This window comes from Homo sapiens, chromosome X (genome assembly GCF_000001405.40).
Source record: "Homo sapiens chromosome X, GRCh38.p14 Primary Assembly".
NCBI lineage: Eukaryota > Metazoa > Chordata > Mammalia > Primates > Hominidae > Homo > Homo sapiens.
In genome coordinates, this window is record NC_000023.11 from 17,698,652 (window position 1) to 17,723,357 (window position 24,706).

A 24,706-nucleotide genomic window follows, 5' to 3' on the forward strand; every position below is an offset into this window, starting at 1 on the left:
TATCACTCATGATTATTGATTCAAAAATACTAAATTCAACATTAGCAAACAGAATATAACATCATATTATATTAGGAGATTAATATACTGTGACCAATGGGATTTATTCTAGGAATGGAAGGTTGGTTCAATATTAGGAAATCTATTAGTATCATATATCATATTAACAGATCTAGGAGGGGAAAACCCATATGGTTAGCTCCTTGGATACTGGCTAAGCCTTAAACAAAATTCAATATCTATTTTTAATTAGAAATGCCCCTAATGTTTCCATACATATGTATATATGTATGTATATATATCTAATGTTAGAGAAAACCCCATTTACAGCAATAACAAAGAAGACCAAATACTTAGGAATTAATTTACCAGAAATGTGTAAAACTTATATGAGAAAAACTTTAAAGCACTCCTTAAAGACACAACATTAGACTTTTTCAAATAGAAAGACATCCCCTGTTCTTGGATAGAATGATTCAACACTACAAACAAATCAGTTCTCTCTAAGTTACTTAATAAGTTTAACACAATTTCAATAAAAATACCAATAAGCTTTATTTTATGGAGTTAGATACTTATGGGAAAACAAACATATAAGACTAGCCAGGAAAACACTGAAAAAGGAAACCTAGCCCTACCAGACATTAAGATATAGTTAAAGCCTCTATAATTACAATATTGTGGTATTGGCACATGAATAGACAGATATATCAGTAGAATAAAACACAAAGTCCAGAAAGAGACCAGAGTATATATAAAAACATTCAATAAAGGCAACATCACAAATAACTGAGGCAAGAGATGGAGTTTTTTAATGATGCTGGAACAACTGCATAGCCATTTGGTGAAAGGAAAAATTTGATCAGTGTTTCTCAACCTCAGCACTGTTGACATTTTGGGCCAAACAATTTTTTGTTGTGGGGACCATCTTGTGCATTGTGCAATGTTTGCCAGCATCCTTAGCCCCTCCCCTCACTTGTGACAACTCAAAATGTCTCCAGACACTGCACTATGTTCCCTGAGGGGATAAAATCACCTCTAGTTAAAAATCATTTAATGGGATGCATACTACCATACACAACAGTAAACTCCAAATGGATCAGGGACCTAAACCTAAAAAATGAAACCACACAAGTACTAGAAGAAAATATGCATGAACTATTCTTTGACCTCAGTCCAGGGAAACACTTTCTAACTTTGGCTAAAAATACAGAGGAAAGAAAAGAAAAAAGAAAAGATTGATGCATTTAAACAGTAAACATTTTTGCATGCCCAAACACCGTAAAGGAAATCAAAAGACAACTGAAAAACTGGGAGAAGATATGTGCAACAGAAAAAGGGCTAATACCTCTAATTGATAAATACCTCTTAAAAACTGAGGGATAAAGAAAAGAGCAAAACCTTGGAAGAAAAATTGAGGAAAAGATGTGAACAGACAATTCAGAAAAAAATATAGGCATGTTTCTTCAACTGAAGAAAAATTGTTCAAGCTCACTCTCAATTAGAAATGCAGGCCAGAGCATTATGCAGCCTGTAATCCCAGCATTTTGGGAGGCTCAGGTGGGAGGATCACTTGAGCCCAGGAGTTTGAGACCAGCCTGGGTAACATGGTGAAACCCCGTCTCTACAAAAAAATACAAAAATTAGCTGGGCCTGATGGTGCATGCCTGTAGTCCCAGCTACTCAGGAGGCTGAGGTGGGAGGATCACTTGAGCTTGGGGAGGTTGAGGCTGCAGTGAGCTGTGATCACACCACTGCACTCCAGCCTGGGTGACAGAGGAGACTGTCTCAAAAAAAAAAAAAGAAAAGAAAAAAAAGAAATGCAAACAACACTGAAATTCCACATATTACCTATGAGACTGGCAAAAATTAAACAATGTAACAATGTATTCTGTTAGTGAAACTGGAGAAACAAGCACTCTCATACATTGCTGGTGGAAATTCAAACGTGGTCCAACCTAACTGAGGGCAATTTGGCAATATCTAACCAAACTACATACGCACTTACCTTTTGCTTCTGCAATTCTACTACAGATACACCTCCAGTAATAGAAAAAGGTTATTTTTTTCAGCATTGCTAACAATTACAAGATGTTGGAAACAACCCAAATACCTATACATAGAAGAGTGATGGAGTAAAAGAAGCAGGAAGACCTTTATGAACTGATAAGGAGTGATTTCTAAGGCATACTCTTAACTGAAAAAGGCAAAGCCCAAAAAAGTGCCTACAGTATGCTACCCTTCATGTTAGAAAGAAGGGTATATAGTCATATAGCACATAATAATGTTTCTGTCAACAACAGACTGCATATAGTCTGCTGGGCCCATAAAATTATAATGTCATATTTTTGCTGTACCTTTTCTATGTTTACCTGTGTTTAGATATACAAATACTTCACATTGTTTTACAATTACCTACTGTATTCAGTACAGTAACATGCCACACAGATTTGTAGCCTAGGAGCAATAGGCTCTACCATATAGCCTAGGTATGTAGTAGGCTGTACCTTCTAGGTTTGTGTAAATACACTCTAAGATGTTTGCACAAGAAAATTGCCTGAGGACGTATTTCTCAGAATGTATCCCAGTCATAAGTGATCTATAACTATATAAGAAAATATACAAGTAGCCACTTATTTGCATAAAAGAAAGAGTCCATTCTGCTGTGACACAACATATGCATCCCTAAAAATCTCCACACTGTACAAAATTGCACAATAAAAAACAAAGGGCTTATGGAGAAAATGGGAGTTAGGGGCACAACATTCAAAAATTTCTTCCAATGACAACACACACAGACACACACACACACAAATAGGAACCTAATAAAATACAATAGCACAGTTATACACATTGTGAATGGTTAAAAAATACACAAATACTGCAATAAATTGGCACTTCACCCAGAAAAAGTCCTGGGGGTGCCTAGGGATTGGGCAACAGAAGGGCCACAGCTTGTGAGTTACTGGGAAGGACTGGAAGGAAGGTTACCTGAAACCGGAGGGAAGGTCATAACACCAGGTGTGGGCAGGTGTGGCTCCTAATATGTGGAGTGAACTGAGGTGGCTGGTAGATATTTGATATGTGTGTGTGTTATGTACTCTTATGCAGCTCAGTTCAGCTGTGTGCAGTTGCTGTGTTCATCTAGAGAGTCTCAGGTTATGCTCAAATGTGAATACCTAAGATATCTTAGGTATTCAAGTGATACCTAAGGTATCAATCACATTGGAACAATCAATCACATTGGAACAAATTTGAATCAATATCAGTCACATTGATATCGATCACAGTGGAACAAACTTGAATTTTCAAAACATGCGTTATAATGAAATTGACTGTACAGGAAGGAAAAACCAGAAATAAATGAGATGGATTTCCCTACGGGGGATGAGTGGGAGTGGGGTAGAAAGAATGGGAGGATGGGATGGTGGTGGCAGGTTCAAGGGGGATGGCATTTCTCTGAGTATATTTTTTGGGTTATAGCTCAGGTAATGTTTTATATATCCCCCCATAAATAAATAATTATCATCAACCAGGATGTGAGGAGAACCCCAAATGGAAAACAAACAGCACCAAATAAACCTAACTACATTACAAATGAATAACAACCACCCTGAAAGAGGTGGGGAAGAAAATAGCTAACCTTTAATAACTTTGGAAAGCAGTATTTTTGTTTCATTTTAACCACAAATATTTATTGATAGATTAATGAGTATAATTTTAAATGGAACAGTAAGGCATAACTGTGGATTAAAACACCTTGCTTCATGCCTGTAATCCCAGCACTTTAGGAGGCCAAGGCAGGCGGATCACTTGAGGTCAGGAGTTTGTTCGAGACCAGCCTGGCCAACACGGTGAAACCCCATCGCTATGAAAAATACAAAATTAGCCAGGTGTGGTGGCAGGTGCCCATTAATCCCAGCTACTTAGGAGGCTGAGGCAGGAGAATCGCTGGAACCTGGGAAGCAGAGGTTGCAGTGAGCCGAGATTGCACCACTGCACTCCAGCCTAGGTGACAGAGTGAGACTGTCTCAAAACGAAAACAAAAACATCTTGCTATACAACCAAAAGGGGAAAGTCATACACTTAGGAATTTTAAATATGCAAGTCAAAGAGCCTTTGAGGTACCCCACAGATGACTATCAGATAATTCTTCCCTTTTATACAATTCCTATATTACATCACTTGATCACAAAGTTAAAATTTTACTTTAAAAGGAATCCCTCATTCATTCACACTTGAGTCATCCCACCTGGCCACTCCCCTGCTTCCCACCCCTTCCCCATCCCTTTAAGGTGGTATTCTTTAGCCATTCCCTTCCTGAATAATTGTGTGGGTCAGGCACGGTGGCTCATACCTGTAATCCCAACACTTTGAGAGGCTGAGGCTGGTGGATCACTTGAGCTCAGGAGTTTGAGACCAGCCTGGGCAACATTGTGAGACCTCTGTCTATAAGAAAAATAAAAAAAGAAAGAAAGAAAGGAAAGAAAAGAAAAAATAGTCAGGCATAGTGGCGCACACCTGTAGTCCCAGCTACTCGGGAGGCTGAGGTGGAAGGATCACTTGAGCCCAGGAGGCAAAGGCTGCAGTGAGCTGAGATCCTGCCACTGCACTCCAGCCTGGGTGATAGAGCAAAACTGTGTCTCAAAAACATAATAAAAAGAAGAATTGTGTGTCCGTTTTCCTTCTTAAGCAAGGAAGCAAGCAAACAAGTAAGCAATGAGTCAGAGAAAGTCCACCAAGGGCAGATTTATGAATGAAGAGACTTACACAGACAGATGTTAGGATGACAGCAACCTGATTACTTGATTCAGTGAAGTCTAAACTAAGCTGACTCTAGCAAAGAAGCTGCACTGGCTTGCTCAGAGGCCTATCATTCCACCTCAGATTGGCCACAAATGCGAGACTCCATGTTTCTAAGGGATTAACAGTGGTCTACATGAGAAGCCAGGAAGCCAATATAACCAGGCAGCTGATGCTACAATACATTTGATGCTTTAGATCTCCATTAGGAGCTGACTATAGCTTCCAGCATAATCATTTGCCACATGTAAAATCCTTCAAGATACTGAGGACAATCTTTAAATCTCAGATAGGATCAATTAGGAATTTCCTTAACAGTAATCTATTTGAAAATGTGAAGTGGAAAGCATTCCAGTGCACATAACATTGAGGCATAAACCATGCTGCAGAGGTGTGAATGCAGGAGGCTCAATAGAGTGCCCAGCCTCCTTGTTCAAAAAGCCATGAGAAAGCCCCCAGGCATATTGTCAGAGCAGCCATTGTGGTGGCAATGGTGTCCCCAAACTAAGCAAATCAGCAGGCATATGGCTATTTTCTGAAGAACCAACACTGCACTAACAAGAGTAGCCATGTAGATATGTGTGTGGAGAATCACAGGCCAGAGAGAGAGAATGACCTGGGCAAGCCACCTAGAACACTTGGTTGTACACCTCGTGCCTTTCAAGAAGAGCATCTCCACTAGGTGCAGTGGCACGTGCCTGCAGTCCCAGCTACTTGGGAGGCTGATGCAGGAGGATCGCTTGAGCCCAGGAGTTGGAGGCTGCAGTGAGCCATGATGGCACCATTGCACTCCAGCCTGGGTGACAGAGTGAGACTCTATCTCTAAAAAAAATTTAAAAATTAAAAAAAAATTTTTTTTTGAGATGGAGTCTCACTCTGTCACCCAGGCTGGATGGAGTGCAGTGGTGCGATCTCAACTTACTGCAAGCTCTGCCTCCCGGGTTCATGCCATTCTCCTGCCTCAGCCTCCCGAGTAGCTGGGATTACAGTTACGCGCCACCACGCCTGGCTAATTTTTTGTATTTTTAGTAGATGGGGTTTCACCATTTTAACCAGGCTGGTCTCAATCTCCTGACCTCGTGATCCACCCGCCTCAGCCTCCCAAAATGCTGGGATTACAGGCGTGAGCCGCCACGCCCGGCCAAAATTTTTTAAAAGAAAAGCATCTCCATCAAGCAGACCTTTGATGACTGACTGGGCAGAATGGAGGGGACTAAGAGATGGTCACATTCTTCTGAGAGAAGTGTTGGTTCCTGAAAAGCTCCCAGAGAGACAACATCCCAGAGGCCCATTTATGAGTGAACGTAAATAAAAACTTCCAGACCACAGAACTTTCTTGCCAAGTCAGAAATATATTCAATAGGCACAGCTTGGGGTGCCACGTGGAACAGAGGGAATTTGGGGGGTTAATAAAAATCAGGGAGGCTAAAAGACCAAGTGCAGTTGCTGCATTCACACCCCTGTTGGGTGACAGAAGCAGGAAGCAAAGGACATATGGACAAGATTGAAGGAGCATGCGGAAGCCTACAGTCTAGTCCAGTGAAAGAGCTTGGCCTGGTTCCCCCTCTCACTTTCTCAGACTGGATGGATATGTGGCGTCAGCAGCAGAAGAGTGGAGATAACATTTAGAAATGGAGAACCAGTGAATTCAGGCTGAAGAGAAATAGACTGGGTGTACTATTCTGTAATGCCCTGTTTGCATCAAAGGCAGGCTTGTGTTGACCGAGCACATCTGGAGTCGTCATGCATCAATAGTAGCATTTTGGGAGACGGGGCATGATGGGGTAGAGGTGGGGCTGTTGGACAGGAGGACTCTCAAGTTCCAGTTGTTAAATACTAAAGAGCATGGAACAGTTTAGTCTCAGTTCTTCAGTCAAGAAATCAGATGTTCATTTTCTGTTCTATGTCCACCTTCTCCAAAAACTTAAAACATCCTGTGAAAGATATTGCATCATCCCCATCCCAGTTAGCCTCCTGGATGGTTCTGTCTGTGATGATGCCCAGTCGCTCATCTGAGTTATTCCCTCTGACCATTATGCATAGCTCCTGTAACAGCTCACTGCAGGAGATGTTGTCTAACATCTATCCAAATCATATAATTAAAAACCAAAGTGAAGTTTGCTGCTTCAGCTGTCAAGTGGTTCTGGTCCATTCACATCTTTGCTCCTTTCGTAATCATCAATGGGTCAGAAATGAGCCAAGGTTCTTATGAATCCACAGAAGTTCAGCTGGTCCTCCCCATCTTAACCAAGTGACCAAAGTTAATATCACCAGTAAGAGAACACACCTGTACATGGACCTCCTGATGTGATGCATTGAGATAACACTTCTGTGAGAGACCCTTGTCAAAAAATATGTTGCCTCAATCTAATCATGAGAAAACATCTGACAAACCCCAATTGAAGGACATTCTATAAAATAATTGACCAGTACTCTTTGAAAATGTTAAGGTCATGAAAAACAAAGACTCACGCCTGTAATCCCAACACTTTGGGAGGCTGAAGTGGGAAGATTGGCTGAGCTCAGGAATTTGAGACCAGCCTGGGCAACATAGCAAGACCTCACTCTACAAAAAAAAATTTTTTTAATTAGCCAGGTGTGGTGGTGCATGCCTGCGGTCCCACCTACTTAGGAGGTGGAGGTGGGAGGATTGCTTCAGACTGGGAGGTCGAGGCTACAGTGAGCCATGATTGCACCACTGCACTTCCGCCTGGATGACAGGGCAAGACTGTCTCAAAAACAAAACAAAACAAACAAAACAAATTGAAGGGGATTGAGGAAATTTGACAACTGAATGCAATGTGCAATCCTGGATTGGATCCTGGTTGAGGAAAAAGGCATCAATGGGAAAACTGACAAAATTTAAATAAGGTCAATAGATTAGTTAATAGTATTTATCAATGCTAATGACCTGGTTTCAACAGATATACTATGGCTATGTAAGCTTTTCCATTAGGAAAAGATGGGTAATGAGTAATGGGAACACTGTGCTATTTTTACAACTTTTCTTTAAGTCTAAATTATTTCAAAATAGAAACACACACACACACACACACACACACACACACACAGTTGGCGCCATGGACATTTCACAGTTTCTGGGTTGGCACTTACACCGCTAGTGCTTCTGATGGATATATGACTTCAGGTGAAGGTGAGTTCACGCAAGAAATGCTTAGTGCAGAGCTTCTTTAGTTTATATAACAAAATCTAGAAGATCACAGAGAATCTGATATAAGGTGATTAAAAGCTGTCACGGTATTGAGCACTTTGGCTCCACGCACACTGTCATAGCATAGATTCCCATTTCAGACTATGGAGTCAGTTAGCCATAGCAGTTCACCCTCACCCGCTGCTGAATGGAATGTTCAGCTCATTGGTTCTCATCAGTCATGTCTCTCAGTCCAGGCCTGGATCTGCAAATACTTGGGACATGCACTTGCTCTTCTCTTTCGCAAGCCTAAGGCAGACATTCCTATTCAATTACAGCACTGTTTTCCACTGAGTCCACACAGCCACTACTCACCAGGGTTAGCACTTGAGTTGAAACATCTCCTTTTTCTGCTTTCACCCTGCAGTAGAGTCCATGAGGACCCTTGAAGCCCAAGTCCTTGCTTAGATTCTGATATCTGGACAGATAGGCAAGGAGGTCACCCTTCCTTAAATGTAGTGGGATGCCAGCAGTCTCAACAAGTTTTCCTCTCCAAGCCTCATCAGAATGATCGAGGGGTGGGATATCTGATGGTCTCTATGGCAGTGGATGAAGATACTTGGTATGAGACGGAGCCCCTATGGCAAAAGTTGATTTGGTTCCAGAGGAACACTAAGACCTAAATCCTCATCATCAGGATCAACAGTGAATTCATTTCAACATATTGCCTTTACAGTTGTATTGTTTGCCAGACTTGATAAAATTAGCCAGGAGCAAAATATCAGGGATTCTTTGTCATTTCACAGCCTGATAATCCAGGGATTTTAAAATAAAAGACTGATGTCAAAACAAACCTTTCTTTTTACCAAGGATGTGTCTTTGAAGGGCAGGGGACATTCCAACTGCCTTATTGGGAAAGAAATGAAGGAAGTCACTCAAACTAGGACCCAGACCATCTTAGTCTTAGTCATAGTTCAGAGCTATAAACAATGACCATGTTTACTCTCCCATTTTCTATCAGGAAGAAAAAAACGGGTCTTATGAGAAAGCAGCTTCTGAGAAAAATCAAAGTAACTTACAGAGGAGCTAGCCAGGAGAGAAGATCAAAGACTAGAGCTGGCAGGAAGGGTGTTTCAATAGTACTTGACCAAGAGTACAAGAGTACTATAAAGACCTTCTCACTGCCTTGTTTTCTTTCCCATCCCCAGCCCCGTCTTCTCTTGTTCATCCTCTTCCATCCTTCCCTTTCTCTGTGGGTTCATTTAAGATTTTCAGTTTTCCATTGGTTTACAATAGAGTTGGGATTGAGAAACGCTGATCAAGCCTCGCCTTTGCTATACAAGAGTTAGACATATCCAGACTTGTCCTAGACAAGTCTATTTTACCTTTATAAATTGTCTTCATAGTTTTACAAGCTCTCTCAGAAGTATTCTGTTGTTTTATTAACTTCTGTCTAAAATAGTTCTGTCCATCCAAATTAAGTCTTTCTTGCTTTGGCTTAGGTGTTCTCTGTATCTCAGATAATTTGCTCCTTTAAACCAGTTAAGGAAAATACTAACCTTGCTATGCGAATCTCTGACATACAAATTATTCTGTGATCCCAAACCTTCAGCTCCTCCATTCTGCCCAAAGAAATAAGTTCAAATCCTTAGCCCAACTCTCCAGACTTTCTACAATTGGGTCCTAACTTACCTTTCGAGATAGATTTCCCACAAATCCTTTGCACGGACCATAGACCTCAGCCAACCCAAACTACACATGCTTCTCCAGAAAACCTCCTGTACTCTCGAAACAATATCTCCACTTGAAATGCCCTTTCTCCCATTGTCTTCTCATTGACTCCTTCATTTTGAAAAAAATTAACTGAATGCCTACTATTAATAAGTACTAGAAGGATACAAACACGAATGAGACATAATCTGTTTCATCCAGAGTACATGGAGACTAGAGGCAATTCTATTGTATTGACTTGAAGGTGTGAATACCTAACTGGTGTATGGTGTTGGAATGGGGTGGGGTGGCAGGATTAAACTTCATGGGAAACATAGTATTTGAGAAGGCCTTGGAGGATGGGGTAGAATTTTGATATGAACACTGGGAGGAAAAGGATTATAGACTGAGGAAACTATGAGAGGCAGGAGATGGAGTGTATACACATGAGTTCAAATACTTTGCTTTGGCTGGTAAGAAAAGGGGTGTGTCAATAGAGGGCACTGGCTATAATGCTTCAGTAGGCCAGATATTGAAGGATCTTGAATGCCAGACTAGAAAGTTTGAATTTATTCCATAAGCCTAGCAAATTATTGAAGGGTTTTGGGCACAAAAATAACAGTGACCTGAAGGAGCTATGCTTTATGACAATATCAGGGTATGTGTGTATAGGATTAATTTCCTCAATCTCTAGAGATTGCTTTTTGGTTTAGTAGAGAGAGGAGCGTTTGATGTTAGTGTCAGGTATAAGATTGCAGAAGTGGTGATGCCTATATACCTCCCATTTAACTCACCTGTTTGGTCTTTGGAGAAGAGAGATGGATCTTGGAGACTGGCTATAAATAGCTGGTGACTTTAGTTGTATCTGCTGTTCACATGTGGTATTTTTCTTGAAGTAAATCAGCACAACACCTGGCCTATGGAATGATACAGCTATTGACCACAATAAATTCTTTTCCCCTCTATACCCATTTTCAAGGCTCACCAGAAGCAGTTTGCTTTTGAGATCATGTCAGCTCTCCTCTCTGCCATAACATAAGCTGCAGAGATCATTGTCATCTTGACACCCCACATCACGCTGGTTCATATTGTCCTGATTGGACTCAGAACAGGAAGCAGCAAGGACCTTAGATACCTTAGTCAAGAGCAAGCCAGAGGGTAAAAGCCTGGTTCCATGTGCTTTATCAGTCAGGCTCCAGTCAGGAAAACAGAAACCAAGCCAGCTATTTTCACAAAGGGAATTTAACATAGGTACATTATTATTACAAGACTGACAGGGCAAATGGGAAACTGAGGTGACACTGAGATAGTAACAGCAGCAAGAAGCTAACATTCCCAGGGCTGGAGGAATGGAAGGAAGGGGTTGGAGTTATTGGAGCAGCCTGCGGTACTAGAACTCAGACCTCTGGAGAGTAACCGTGGCCTGGCTGGTGCTGGTGCCTCAGGAGCTCTGGAGCTCAGAAGCTTCTGAGGAACTGGGACCCAGACCTCCGAGTATGGGGTGCTGCCTGCCAGGTGCTAATGCATCAGAAGCTCCAAAGAAGGACCACACACAGCTGGAATCTAGAAAGGGGTACTGGACGGCTGGGTCTGACTAGCATCTCTGACAGGGGCCATAATGAGGCTGGTTCTGGGAGTGAGGAAACAGATGAGGGCTGAAACCAATTGCCATAGCTGGGGGCAAAGGACCACTGCTGGGACAATGCTAACAGAAACAGTGAGTGCCAAGAAGTAAGTCCCTTCTTCCTCTTCCAGCCTTCTAATCTCCCTCTTGCGCTCCCACTGGAAGAACCTAACAGGGAGGAGCTGGCAAGAAAGAAATGTTTGCAAAGTCCCAGCAGGGCACAGAATAGGTTCAGAACTGAGAAACAATAGCTTAATAGCCAGCACAATAGCTAATGAAAACATTAGCCAATGAGTCTGGTTCATATTAAATACTGTGAGAAATAGAGAAAACTCCTTAGTTTTGGAATTCTTTCTTTCTCTTTTAAATATTGGCCTGGCTGTGGAACTGTCAATAAAAGTACTTGTGTATACACATCATTACAGAATATTCTCAGGTTGACATTCTGTTGCATGCCTGAGACTTTTTTCACTGTTCAAAATATAGGCAGACAATGGAACACCACTCACAATAAAAAGGAATGAATTATTGATAAACACAACAACTTGGATGGATTGCAAAGGCATTATTCTGGGTGAAAGAAACCAGTCTCAAATGGTTACCTAGTGTATAATTCCATTCATATAACATTTTCAAAAAGACAAAACCATAGAGATGGAGAACAGATTAGTGGCTGACAGGGGTAGGGGTTGGGGGAGGTTGTGACTATAACAGAATACCACAGGGGAGTTTTGGGGGAGTAATAGAACAGTTCTATGTCCTGATTGTGGTCATGGTTACAAGAGTCTATACATGTGCTAACATTAATAGATCTGTACTCAAAACAAATAAAAAGGGGAAAACAGTAAAGGCAGAATGTGCATGGTTTGTGTGTGAGGTCTTACATTTTTTGCTTTTTAAAAATTTGCAGTGATGAGGTCAATTATGGCTCTGCTGAGCTTTAGCCACAGCTGGCCTGAGTTAGCAGTGCAAAGGTTCCCTTGGAGTGGGCCTGAGTGTGTGACATTTCTGCAGTTACCACACGCCTCTGACTTCCCCAGCTGAGGGCCATGGAGGAGTGCTGCTGTCACTTCTGGGCTGTTCTGTTGACTCACATTTCCAGCTTCTCTGATATGGGTGAGGGTATTTGCACTGTTTGTAGCAGTTCAAAGATTCTTTCTTCCCTGCACTTCAAAGCCTGGCCTGCCTTTTCCTTACTCATGTCTTTTATTTGGTTCTAGCAACCTTTGAGGGTTGATGGAACTGAGTGGCCCTTGGCAGTGGCTCCACTAATTGGCAAAGCTGACCACAGGGGATGAATAAGATACTGGCATCAACATCACAGTGATCATGGTCCAGTGGGCCCTGTTTTGTGTTCTTGACAGTACAGAGCAATTCCTGGGAATAAATGACTGTGCTGACCAGCCAGCAGGAAGCATTCTCCATCCTGGGCTCCCTATAGCCCTCTTTTCCATTCATGTGGGGACTATTTTCCACAAATGTTCCAAAACATAATTGGTTATGCTTTGCACATTTAAAATGCTTCATTAATAGGATGTGATTAAACAAAGTGTTCTTGAACTTTAAAATATATAAAATTATTTTGCATTCCATTACCCTAAGAATTTTTGTTCCATTCCAGCTGAGATCAAAAGGAGAGAGAGAGATGCTTTGCAGTCACACATTCTCTTTCAGAAAGCCTCTTTTTGGGTGAAAACTGCACCATTGTCATCGCCATTCAAGCTTTGCTCACTAGGGACAGTTGTCACACCCCAAACATCTACCAACAGGATAGGATTTAAAAGTGAATGAGCATGTACTCTTTTGGTGTCTTGGCTGCTTATGCTACATATACTTTTTTGAGATTGATGTTATTGTGTAGTTTTCCATTGTATGAATATAAGATTGCACAATCTGTTTATCCATTCTGCTGTTGGGAGATAGTCAGGTTGTTTCTAGTTGTGGGGTATTGTTTGTTTGTTGACTTTTATGAATAAAGCTGCTATAAACTTTATAAGTATTTTATAAGTATTTTTGTGCAAGTTTTTTGTGGACATATTCATTTTTCTTAAGTCTATATACCTGAGATGGAATTAAAGGGTATACATATGTTTAAGATTAGATACTGCCAAATAGTCTCCAAAGCTACACCATTTTACACTCCCACCAGCATTTATGAGCATTCCAGTCACTCTACATCTTTATCAACATTAAGTGTTATTAATCTTTTTCATCTTAGCCCCTCTAGTCCACAGTGTGGTTTCCTTTTGAATTTTCCTGACGAGTAATGATGTCAAGCACCTTAATATATGCTTATTGGCCTTTTGTGTGTGTGTATATATATATATATATATATATATATATATATATATACACACACACACACACACACATATATATATGTAAGGTCTTATTCTTGTTTTCAAATGTAACACATTTGTATACACACACACACACACACACACACACACACACATATATATATATATATATATTGCAAAGTGCCCCTCAGGAGAATCAAGAAAGTGGTGATAGCTATATCTCTCAGGGAAAGGAAGTAAAGGTATGATTTGGAAAAGCAGACTTATCAATAAGAGGATATTCCCCAGGCCTGAATAACAATGCTTTTTTGTGTTTTAAATAAATATTAATGTATATGGTGGTTAAAGAAATAACTCAGTAGGCACCTGTTCCCAAATATCCCTCTCCACAACCATTACCCAGAACTTCGCCACGGTGATTGGAATAAATCACTGTGGATTGGGTTTTTCATGATTTGTTGTCAGCACCCTAATAAGGGTGCATTTTGGGCTTCTTTCTAACCTTGAAGCTGGCTGAAAGGTTAGCGTGAAGGGTTTAGGCACTTGGGGTTAAGGATGGCATGCCAGGTGGGAGTGCTGCATTCAGGTACTTTGGGTAAGCATGAAGGCTCTGACTGCTGAGGAGAGAGTGGTGACAAAGGTCAAACCCAGAAAGGGAAGAAGCCTTAAAACAGAGAAAGCATAGGATGTGCCTTAAACTTCTGCCTACCTCTTCATTGTGTTTACCCATGATTGTTCACCTTGATGAATGTCGGAGTTGAGGAGAGGGGAAGAGGGAAGCACAGGGTGAATGTAGAATGATGTTACTAAACATGTTGGGAAGACAAGAGCACAATGCCAACCTTTGGGAGATTTTGAGACAGTCTCAAGGGAATAAAAAAGTACTACATAATTGTAGCAACAAGAATGACATGTGAAGAAGGCATTGTCAGGCTTCTTGAAGCCTTTGAGAAAGATCAAAGGAGTTCATATTTATATATGATACATCCACAAACACTCCTGCACAGGAAAAGCTGAGGCCAATAGGACACAGTATGTGCACAAATGCAAGGATTTGGTTTAAGGACAAACGAGCCCCATGGTAGAGTGAAAATAAAAGCCCATATCACCTCACTAGAAACCCAGTGTGGTTTGCAATGGACATCTTTGCTGTAAGGTCTTATTCTTGTTTTCAAATGTAACACAGCATCCAGCCTCCAGTAAATATTTTTCATGTTTAAGACAGCATGATAGCAATAAATCAGCTCTGAAAGTCAACTGCTATAAGTGCCATGTGGTATCAGTTAGATCACAAACCAAAGCCAATTTTTCAAAACATTTCCTGCTGGAATACCCACAACATTTTAACAGATGTATTTTGGGCTGTTTCGAAAGAAAATAAGCCCCCATCAGCATATAAAATATAACTCAAAAGAAAGTAAAATATGGAGTGGAGGGATTATTTTTTCTTTTGGTAGTAAGAGAAAGATTGGGGATCATCTTGAAACCCTTGGGGAAGTGCTTGTTCATAGCCACGAAAGGGGAGAAATTAACTTTTCTCACACACATACCTCAAGAAAGACTGGAGTTTGAAAAATCTTCCTTCATTATATACCAAAGACATTTATTTGGCTGCTTTTGAGCATAATGTTTGTTATTTCTTATTCTGAACACTGGTCATAAGTATAATTCTGGCTTTTGTTGAAGCAACTCATGGGAAGCTAGGGAAAGGATTTGAGGATATGACTGATGAGGCCAGCAGGGACAGAGATGAAGTGAAGGCATCAAAAGAATCATCTTTTGTCAGGGACAAGATGGGCATGGCTGGTAGTTGCTGATTATAAAATGCTGCAAGTTGGAGTCTGAAGCTTTTCAAAATCAGTGGTAGAAGGGCCAGAATAGGAGTCTGGAAAAGGAGGAGGAAATTACTCTTTTTTTTTTTTTTGTATTTTTCTTCAACAGTATATTATGAAAAATCTCAAAGGTACAGAGAAGTTGAAAGACTTGTACAGTGAATATGCATATATATACCCATGAGGGAGAAATTATTTTTAAACTGACGGTTTGTTTCCACTGGGGCCAATTTTGATCCACATCAAATAAATGATCTTGAATGAATGAATGAATGCCTAACACACCTCCTACCACACTTATTCTGGGGAAACCAAAGTTGTTCACTGCCACTCTTGTACTGAGTGATGATTCCACAATCAGGAGTCCCCTGTGGATCTGCTTCCATTATCTGTTGTTTTGGATGCTTCCTGCTCATGCTGTCTTATCTCCTCCTGTGCTTTGCTGTCTTTGACCTTGTACTGGATGTTGTACTGAAAAATTATATGTGGGTGGCAATAATTTGATGTTATTTCTCTAGAAGAGAATTTTTGTTTGCTTATGCCAGGCACGTGAGCATGTTAGCTGTACAACACATATTTATTGAGCGCTATTGAGGCAGTAAAAATAGAGTTATGAACAAGAAATGGTTAGTCTTTCTCTGAATAAGCAACGAGATTCATTTAAACAGTTGTGGAAGAATAATTTAGTTCATATAAGTTTGATCAGCATCCAGCTTTCCCTAACCTTATCCATCAGCACCCATTAAGGCGTGGCAGGCTGAGCCATGCAGAGATGCCCTGAGGTAGCAGTTCTCTTGCAGTTGTATTTCTTAGATAATTTAGAAAAAATATATACTGTGAACTGATTATTGCATTCATTATATAAAAGTGTAATCAGAAATACTCAGAACAATCTTACTTCTTTTGACTAAACATCCAGGAAAGAGGATGCTTTATTTTATTTTTAAGGTTTTTAAAAAAATATTTCAATGGTTTTTAGATACAGGTGGTTTTTGATTACATGAGTGAGTTCTTTAGTGGTGAATTCTGAAATTTTAGTGCACCCATTCACCCAAGCAGTGTACACTGTTACCCAATATATAGTCTTTCATCCCTGACCTTGCTCCCAAAGTCCCCTGCCCCAAGTCCCCAAACTCCATTATATCACTCTGTATGTTTTTGCATCTTCATAGCTTAGCTCCCACTTATAAATTAGAACATATGGTGTTTGGTTTTCCATTCCTGAGTTACTTCACTTAGAATAATGGCCTCCAGTTCCATCCAAGTTGCTGCAAAGGACATTATTTCATTCCGTTTAATGGCTGAGTAGTATTCCATGGTGTATATTTAACACATTTTCTTTATCCAATCGTTGGTTGATGAGCATTTAGGTTGGTTCCATATTTTTGCAATTGCAAATTGTGCTGCTATAAGCATGCATGTGCAAGTGTCTTTTTCATACATGACTTCGTTTCCTTTGGATAGATACCTGGTAGTGGGATTGCTAGATCAAATGATAGTTCTACTTTTAGTTGTTTTCAAATTTTATTTAACTTTTATTTTAAGTTCAGGGTTACATGTGCAGGTTTGTTATATGGGTAAACTTGTGTCATGGGGGTTTGTTGTACAGATTATTTTGTCACCCAGGTATGAAGTCTAGTACCCATTAGTTATTTTTCCTAATCTTCTCCCTCTTCCCCCCTCTACCCTCCCATAGAACCCAGTGTGTGTTGTTCCCCTCTATGCGGAGGGCCCTCTAAAATACTAGACTAAGGCAGTTACTAATTAATGGCAGAAATATAACTGTATATTTATATACTTATAGCTCATTTTAATATTATAAACTTAAATACTCTGAATCTGCAGACCATCTGCAGGGACTCTAGAGCTTGTGTCTAAGTGGAGGAACCAAAGAACACAATCCCTCCACATCCAAGCTCCAGAGTACCTAGTTTCAACCCTCACAAGCTGGAGGTTGGAGCTACTATCAATATAGTGGAGAGACCAATTAGCTGAGGAGGAATCTGCTATGGAGTGTAACCCAAGGAGACCTTAACTCTCCATCACAATGACCACAACTGAAAAGTCTGTGCTTTCTCTGAACTTGCCATCCTTAGTCATTGTCAGGTGTGACCTCATGCTTATTTAATGGGGTGGGTGGGTTTCTCAAACAGATGAAAAATGAAGTCCACTCCTCACCCCTCACTACTGGAAAAAATATTCAACAGGAGAGCTGACTTAGGAGATTTAAGACAAACTACCATAATTTATGTATTAACATTAATATCATTCTGCAGTTTCTGACGGTGTGATTTTTTGAAAATACTTTCATGAGACACCAAAGCTTTTGGTTTCTTTGAAGTAGGTTCCTTTCCCATGTAGGCTTTGCTATCAGGCTACCTTTTTTCCTACTTAACATGAGTTTTCTCTCTCATTTACACACCCTGGTTTCTTACTTGAGACTTCCACATCATTGTCTGTGGCTGATTTTTAGGAGAGAACCAGGTTAGTGTCTGAACTCGGACCACATATATCACATCTGTCAAAATGGTCACTTTCAGCAAGGGAGCCATAGACCCTACAAAATCATTAGTCTTAAATAAGATCTAGATCAAAATTAACTGGGCCCGAGGAGGAGACATTTGCTTTGCTTAAACATTAATGAGCAACTCTTTCAGTTAAAACTTAGAAAAATAGAACAGAATTAGACACCAAGCTTTCCCCACAAAAACGCATGTCTGCCATAGGCTTAAGAATAACTAGGCCCAGCATCCATCCTTGCTTCCATCAGAGGAAGCAAGGATCACTGGCAGTTTCCTCTACTTGTTTCCACCTGTTTGCATGAAGATGGTAAGTCCCTTGGATTCTGAGGAATTTACTTCCTCCTGAGATCTTGAGCATTCCCCTTACTCTTTTTTTTTTTTTTTTTCCCTCCGAGACAGAGTCTTGCTCTGTCACCCAGGCTGGAGTGCAGTGGTGCAATCTCGGCTCACTGCAACCTCTGCCTCCCAGGTTCAAGCAATTCTCCTGCCTCAGCCTCCCGAGTAGCTGGGATTACAGGCATGCGCCACCACGCCTGGCTAATTTTGTATTTTTAGTAGAGATAAGGTTCCACCATATTGGCCAGGCTAGTCTCGAACTCCTGACCTCAAGTGATCCGCCTGCCTTGGGCTCCCAAAGTGCTGGAATTACAGGCATGGGCCACTGTGCCTGGCTGCCCCTTACTTTCTTTGGGGTTCCCATCACTGCTAAAACACACAGAGACAATATCATTCAGGTGCACAAATATTTTGATGAGTTCTTACAGTGATGCATCATGGAAGACTGAAAGGCAAATCAAATGTGGCCTCTGACCTCCAGGAATTTGCAATCTAACAAATGAAATAGACACATCCAGGGCCAATTCCTGTTCCATTAAAGCCATGCTGTAGGATAAGTGCTATAATAGAGGCCCAGCTGAATCTAAAGCTGATATGGCTTAGAGTTTTAAAAGTTTCAGTGGCCTTCTCAGTAGATCCTGAAGAGGGGATTCTGGTTACCAGATTATTCTCCAGATAGGACTGGCTATATAATTTCTGGGGTCCAGTGAAAAGTGAAAATGAAGAATCCTTTATTCAAGAATTTCAAAACAGTGACAGCACAACCTGAAACCAAGTATGGGGGCCTTCTGAGTGCAGGGCCCTATGGGACTGCTACACAGATCACACACTCATGAAATTGGCCCTGTCTCCAAATGTGGTCTATGAATAGGAGAAAGAAGTAAATTTTGAGCAGTCTAGAGAAGGAAATTACACATAGAGAATTTTCTTCCAAGTAGTTCACAAATAAATAAATAAATAAAATCACTCCAACGAAAGCAAATAATTCAATCTTCTCCAAATTAGCAAGTGGTGTTGGAATCTAAAACATAACAAAGTTACAGTTTGCAAAGACATTTTCACAGATATTTCACAGCTACAAGGTAAGTACATTAATAATAATAATTGTTGTAGTAGTAGCTGGCACTAATGTACAGCATTTATTAAGTGCCACGATTCTTCTAAGTCTATTACATATACTTTACTCATTTAATCCTCAAAACAGCCCTGGAGGGAAAATTCTATTATTTCTCTATCTTACTACAGATGAGGAAACTGACCTTGGGGAGGTTGAGGAATTGCCCCTGGCCACACAGAAAATAAGTGGTGGAGGCAGGATTTGAATTCAGACAGTCTAGCTTCAGAGTCTGTGCTCTTAACCACTATTTATGCTACCTCTGAAAAAATAAAGATAGGAAGGAAAGGAAGGAGGGAGGGAGGGTGGTGGGAGGGAGGAAAGGAAGAAAGGAAGAGAGGGAAGAAGAAGGAAGGAAGGGAAGGAAAAAGGAAGGAGAGAAGGAAGAAAGGAAGGAAGGAGAGAAGGAAGAAAGGAAAGAAGGAGAGAAGGAAGAAAGGAAGGAAGGGAGGGAAGGAAAAAGGAAGAAGGGAAGGAAGGGAGGGAAGGAAAAAAGGAAGGAGGGAAGGAAGAAAGGAAGGAAGGAGGGAAAGAAGAAACGGAGGGAGGAAAGAAAGAAGGAAGGAAGAAATTAGGAAGGAGGGAAGGAAAAAAGGAAGGAAGAAGGAAGGAAGGGAAGTAGGAAAGGAAGAAGGAAAGCAAAAAGGAAGAAGGAAGGGAGGGAGGCAAGGAGGGAGAGAGGGAAGGAAGAAGGAAGGAAAGAGGGAGGGAAGAAGGAAGAAAGGAAAGAAGGAAGGAAGGAGGGAAAGAAGGAAGGAAGGGGGAAGGAGGGAAGGTAGGAAGGGAAAGAAGAAAGGAAGGAGGGAAGGAAGAAAGGAAGGTAGGAAAGAAGGAAGGAGGAAGTAAGGAAGGAAAGAAGGAAGAGGAAAGGAAGGAAGAAAGGAAGGAAAGAGGAAGGAAGGAAGAAGGAGGGAAGGAAGGAGGGAAGGAAGAAAGGATGGAGGGAAGGAAGAAGGAATGGAAGAAGAAAGGAAGGAAGAAAAAAGGAAAGAAGGAGGGAGGGAAGGAAGGAAGGGAAGGAAGAAGGGAGGAAGGAAGGAGGGAAGAAAAGGAAAGAGGGAAGGAAGGAAAGAAGGAAGAAATAAGGAGAAGAAAGGAAGGAATAATAAGGAGAAGGAAGGAATAATGAGAAGGAAGGAGGAAGGGAAAGAAGGAATGAAGGAGGAAGGAGGGAAGGAAGGAAGGAAGGAAGTTATCCCAGTATATTATTTTATTAATATCATAGATTTGGCCTAACCAGTATACACTGTGTTGTGTGCACGTTTTTAATTTTTTCTTTTTTTGCATTTCATGTTCATAGTTTAACAGCACCCGTTCGCCCTCCCCCACTGAATGTTGCCACATGACCCCGTGGAGTAGAAAGGTATTGGTTCTGAGAACATTCCTTCACGGCCCTATCCCACTCTGTCCAGACACTCTTCCTTTTTTCCCTCTTTTAACTTTATGGAAAACTTTCTTGTTTCTAACTAACGGTTTTTCTTTAAAATCAATTTAAAAAGTGGTATTTTCCTAACTTGAATTAAATAGAATATAACTTAGACAGTCATGCCATTTGCCTTTTTCCCCCATTCACTGCCCCCCACTCTGCAAACTGCATCACCTAACACTACTCTTGGACTTTGTAGTCTGGCAGAGGAACCTTTTCCTATATTTAATTTATCAGAACTGTAAATGTTCAGCTTCTCAAATCAAAAAGGAGAACAAGACAAAAGGATTCTCTGGCAGCCAATCGTCCTGTCACCATTAAATAAAAAGTGCTTTTGGCTGCTGGTCAGAGCTTGTAGTCAGGTCACTATCCTGTCGACACTTTGCAGTCCATTGTTATTCAAGGAAGGAATCGCCTACAAAATGAAGCCTCTGGTGGTGGGGGGTTTCTCTTTATTGCTCATTCTCTCTCTTTGTCTCCCTCTTTCTCTCTCTCTCTCTCAATCAGTTTCTCTCTCTCTCTCTCTCTGTATGCACCAAACTTTTTTTCTTTTTGGAAGTTACCTAGGAAACAAAGTCTTTTGTTCTCGAACTTTATTTGAGCTATTCGCTTCGCTGGGAATCTGCACAAAAGCTGAAGAGAGAAAGAAGGTTGCAATATTTTACTAAAACGTTCATGACGAACATATTTTTCCCAAGGGGGGAGTCATATCCTGTTGGGTGTGTTGGGGGGATTTGCAGAAACCTCTGACAAGGTAAGTAAATGCTGGGGGTGAGTTTAGACAAGTGGCATTGGAATCAGCTCTTTAAGGGGACTTGAGAACAGTTCATTTGACAATAGGTGAAATCCTCTGAGTCAACAGGGCATGATATTTCCAAATGTAAAGATGGGAAAATTTTTTTTGATGATCCTAATTTTAGGGCAGAATATTATTAAAGTCTTACTGGGATAACAGCAAAAGATATTTATTTTATACAGATACCCACCTTCCTCCAAATTGTGTAAAAAATAAATAAAACTAGGTTGAGTGGTGAAAACTGAGTCTTTTAATCATCTAGTTTAGAAACCCAACCCTGAAATCAAAACTGGGATGGAGCTTTTTAAATAATCTGGGCTAGGAGCCCAACCCTGAAATAAAAGTTAGACAATATTGATATTTATCAAAAGTTTGGATGGAGAATTTTCCAATGTCATGTAGAAATCAAAGCCCCTAACTATACAGCTGGAGGAAAAGTCTCGCACCACAAAGCTGAAAAGAAAGTAAACTAGGACTCTTTCACCTTTCCTAATTTGAAAAATAAACTCACTGGAATATTTCCCCCCAGTAACAGCATGTGTATTTTCCGCTATCGTTGGTAGGGGGAAATTCTTCACTTTTGCTTTTCCATGTGCATACAAGTGTTCATGAAACTGAATTTTTAAAATGTTATTAAAAAATGCCGTAGTCCTGGAGTGAAATTAACTCCTCATGTTTTAATGTGGCTTCTCAGATTAGGTTGGCTTGTCCTTCAGGTGATGGGTTCTGGAATGTCTCCTGACTCCAGGTTTTCTGAACCTTTTCATAGGTGTCTAACTCATCTTCTTCCTTTGATCCTAGTCATCTAGAGATCTCAAAACTTTTGATAGAAATTTATGGTGAGATAGCTTGAAAGTGGATCTGTCTTTCATTGGAGTAAAGACTCAATTTTCTTTGGTGTAAAGTTTGGGGATTTCTGGCTACCTTGTCTCTCCTGTTAATTCCATTTAACCTGAGAAGCATGTTTATTTAGCCCATTTCTTTCCTTTTGTGTTGCTTGACTATTGAAATAATACTTGTAATTAGTTGTGCTTACTAACTATTTCTAGGAATTCTTCCTTTGTCCTAAGGGCCTATTTCTGACCTCATTTTTTCTTCTCTAAACTAGGAAATTCCTTATATGTGTGCTTATGTATAAACTATGATGGCTGAACCTGATTGTACTTTGTTTGCAGTCCCATCCCCCAGAGGATGAAGATACAGATGTCATGTTAGGGCAGAGGCCGAAAAACCCAATACACAATATCCCTTCCACACTGGACAAGCAGACCAACTGGAGCAAAGCACTACCTCTCCCGACGCCAGAGGAGAAGATGAAACAAGATGCCCAAGTGATTTCTTCTTGCATTATTCCCATCAATGTTACTGGTATCGTTCTGGTTTTTTCTTAGGGGCAGTCGGGTCAGAATATTCTGTGTATTAAATATGTTCAAAATCTGTGCTGCTAAGAATACCATTTTGTAAACAAGTAATGCCTTTTTGTCATCAAAATACAAACCCAGAGGATGTTCGATATGCTTTTGTCAGGTTTTGAACATCAATTTACATGTTTTCCGCGGGCCACTTGTTATGTAAATTATGGACAGTTTCTTTTTGAAAAAAATCACCAAATAGCTCTTTGGCCATAGCTGACTGAAATAATGGAGAAAGCGGCAGTGATTAATCATATGATAATGATGTGTGGCACTGCAAGAAAGAAAACAGCAAACCCAGGCTTCTCAAACTGCAAGTAATGGTCCTGTAGGCCAACTAGAAAATCTGTTTTCATGCTTCCTTGGATGAAGGTAGGCTTTTTAAAAAAGACTGTTAAGACTTCTGTATTGATTTGGGGGATTTTTGACCTAAAAATATATGGATACAGAGATGAAGGCTGAATTCTATTTTAAAACCAGCAAGGCTGTCTTCCTTTCACTCTCTTTTTTTCTCCTCCTGTGTACTGAGAGTGTGAATATTAGTCTAGATAGAATGGAAGCATAGCCAGACCTTTCTGAAAAATTTATTGGCAGCAGTTATAAATTCCACAATTGGATCTAGTAATCTTAGTCGTAAGTAAAATAATGTTATAAAATATTCTAACTTTCAAAGACATAAATGGTCTATCCATTGGGCTTTCTTACATCTCTAATAGTTACATTTTAACTTATTTGTATATTGAAAATTTCAAAACAGCCATGTTATGACTGATTTTCATATTGGTACCATGTGACTAAAGATTGCATGTCACTTGAGATGCATGTTGCACACAGCTATCATTAACCCCACTCAGATTTCTCTCAAATAAAGTGGGGAAGCAAATGGACCAGATATCTGGGACAGATATTATTTTTTTCCTGAGAAAAAAGGAGTCCTAGTTCATGGGTCTGTGGTGAGTTGGGAGTTAATTTTCCTGATGACCTATTCAACTTGTAAGATAAATTATTCTAAAGATGTGCCCCTATCTGATCTCCACAATCTAAATGGGATGTATTAGGGGAGTTCAGCTGCCAAAATGGATCATTTTGGCACCCTCTTAAGCTAATTTTCATTTCTGGAAACCTCTGATTATTAGCAGCACGTGCTTTTTTCATGGCACTGTAAGTAAAATCTCATTTTCAAATTTAGTGCTATGATTATGGGCCATTATTTTATGATTGAGGGAAAGGGACACTTTTTCCTTCTGCTTTATTTCAGGAACTCTCTGATTAAAACTTAGATCAGATGTTGATTTCAAGAGCTTTAATGAGAACATTGTTAATGATGTCCACATAACACAAAATGTCTGCGTCTATATATAATGCATTCTATAATTACTAAGATCAGAATGAAGGATTTTAATTTTGGGTTGGAACTAAGAAAAATTCCATTAGTAAGAATTCTCCAATAATATTGTAATTATTCATCATATGATATCTCATACAGATTTTTCAAAGTGAGTTCTAGAAACTGTTGGCACTGTGACGTTAAACAGAACTCAACTCTTTCATTATACAGCTGAACCAAGACTTGACACACCACCCAGCCCCATGCTTAACAATCAGGATAAATGATGAGGTGACCAAATTCCAAAGCACGGCATTGTGACTTTCTGAGGCAAAGCTCACTTTGAAAAATCC

The 24,706-nt window shown here is 40.3% G+C and overlaps 1 protein-coding gene and 1 pseudogene across 6 annotated transcripts in view; one reads left to right on the forward strand and one right to left on the reverse strand.

The window, feature by feature from the left end:
- Positions 1-24,706, forward strand: part of NHS (NHS actin remodeling regulator) — a 360,795-nt gene that overhangs the window by 323,452 nt on the left and 12,637 nt on the right. For 3 of the 6 annotated variants that reach the window (NM_001291867.2, NM_001136024.4, NM_001440780.1), the window contains exons 4-5: positions 20,693-20,755; positions 22,790-22,982. In NM_001291867.2, the coding sequence (NP_001278796.1) occupies positions 20,693-20,755; positions 22,790-22,982 (256 nt within the window). Of the gene's footprint in view, positions 1-20,692; positions 20,756-21,442; positions 21,573-22,789; positions 22,983-24,706 lie in introns of those variants that run through there. The other 3 variants (NM_198270.4, NM_001291868.2, XM_011545528.3) reach the window with 2 other exon arrangements.
- CHP1P3 (CHP1 pseudogene 3) lies at positions 6,681-7,040 on the reverse strand (annotated as a pseudogene).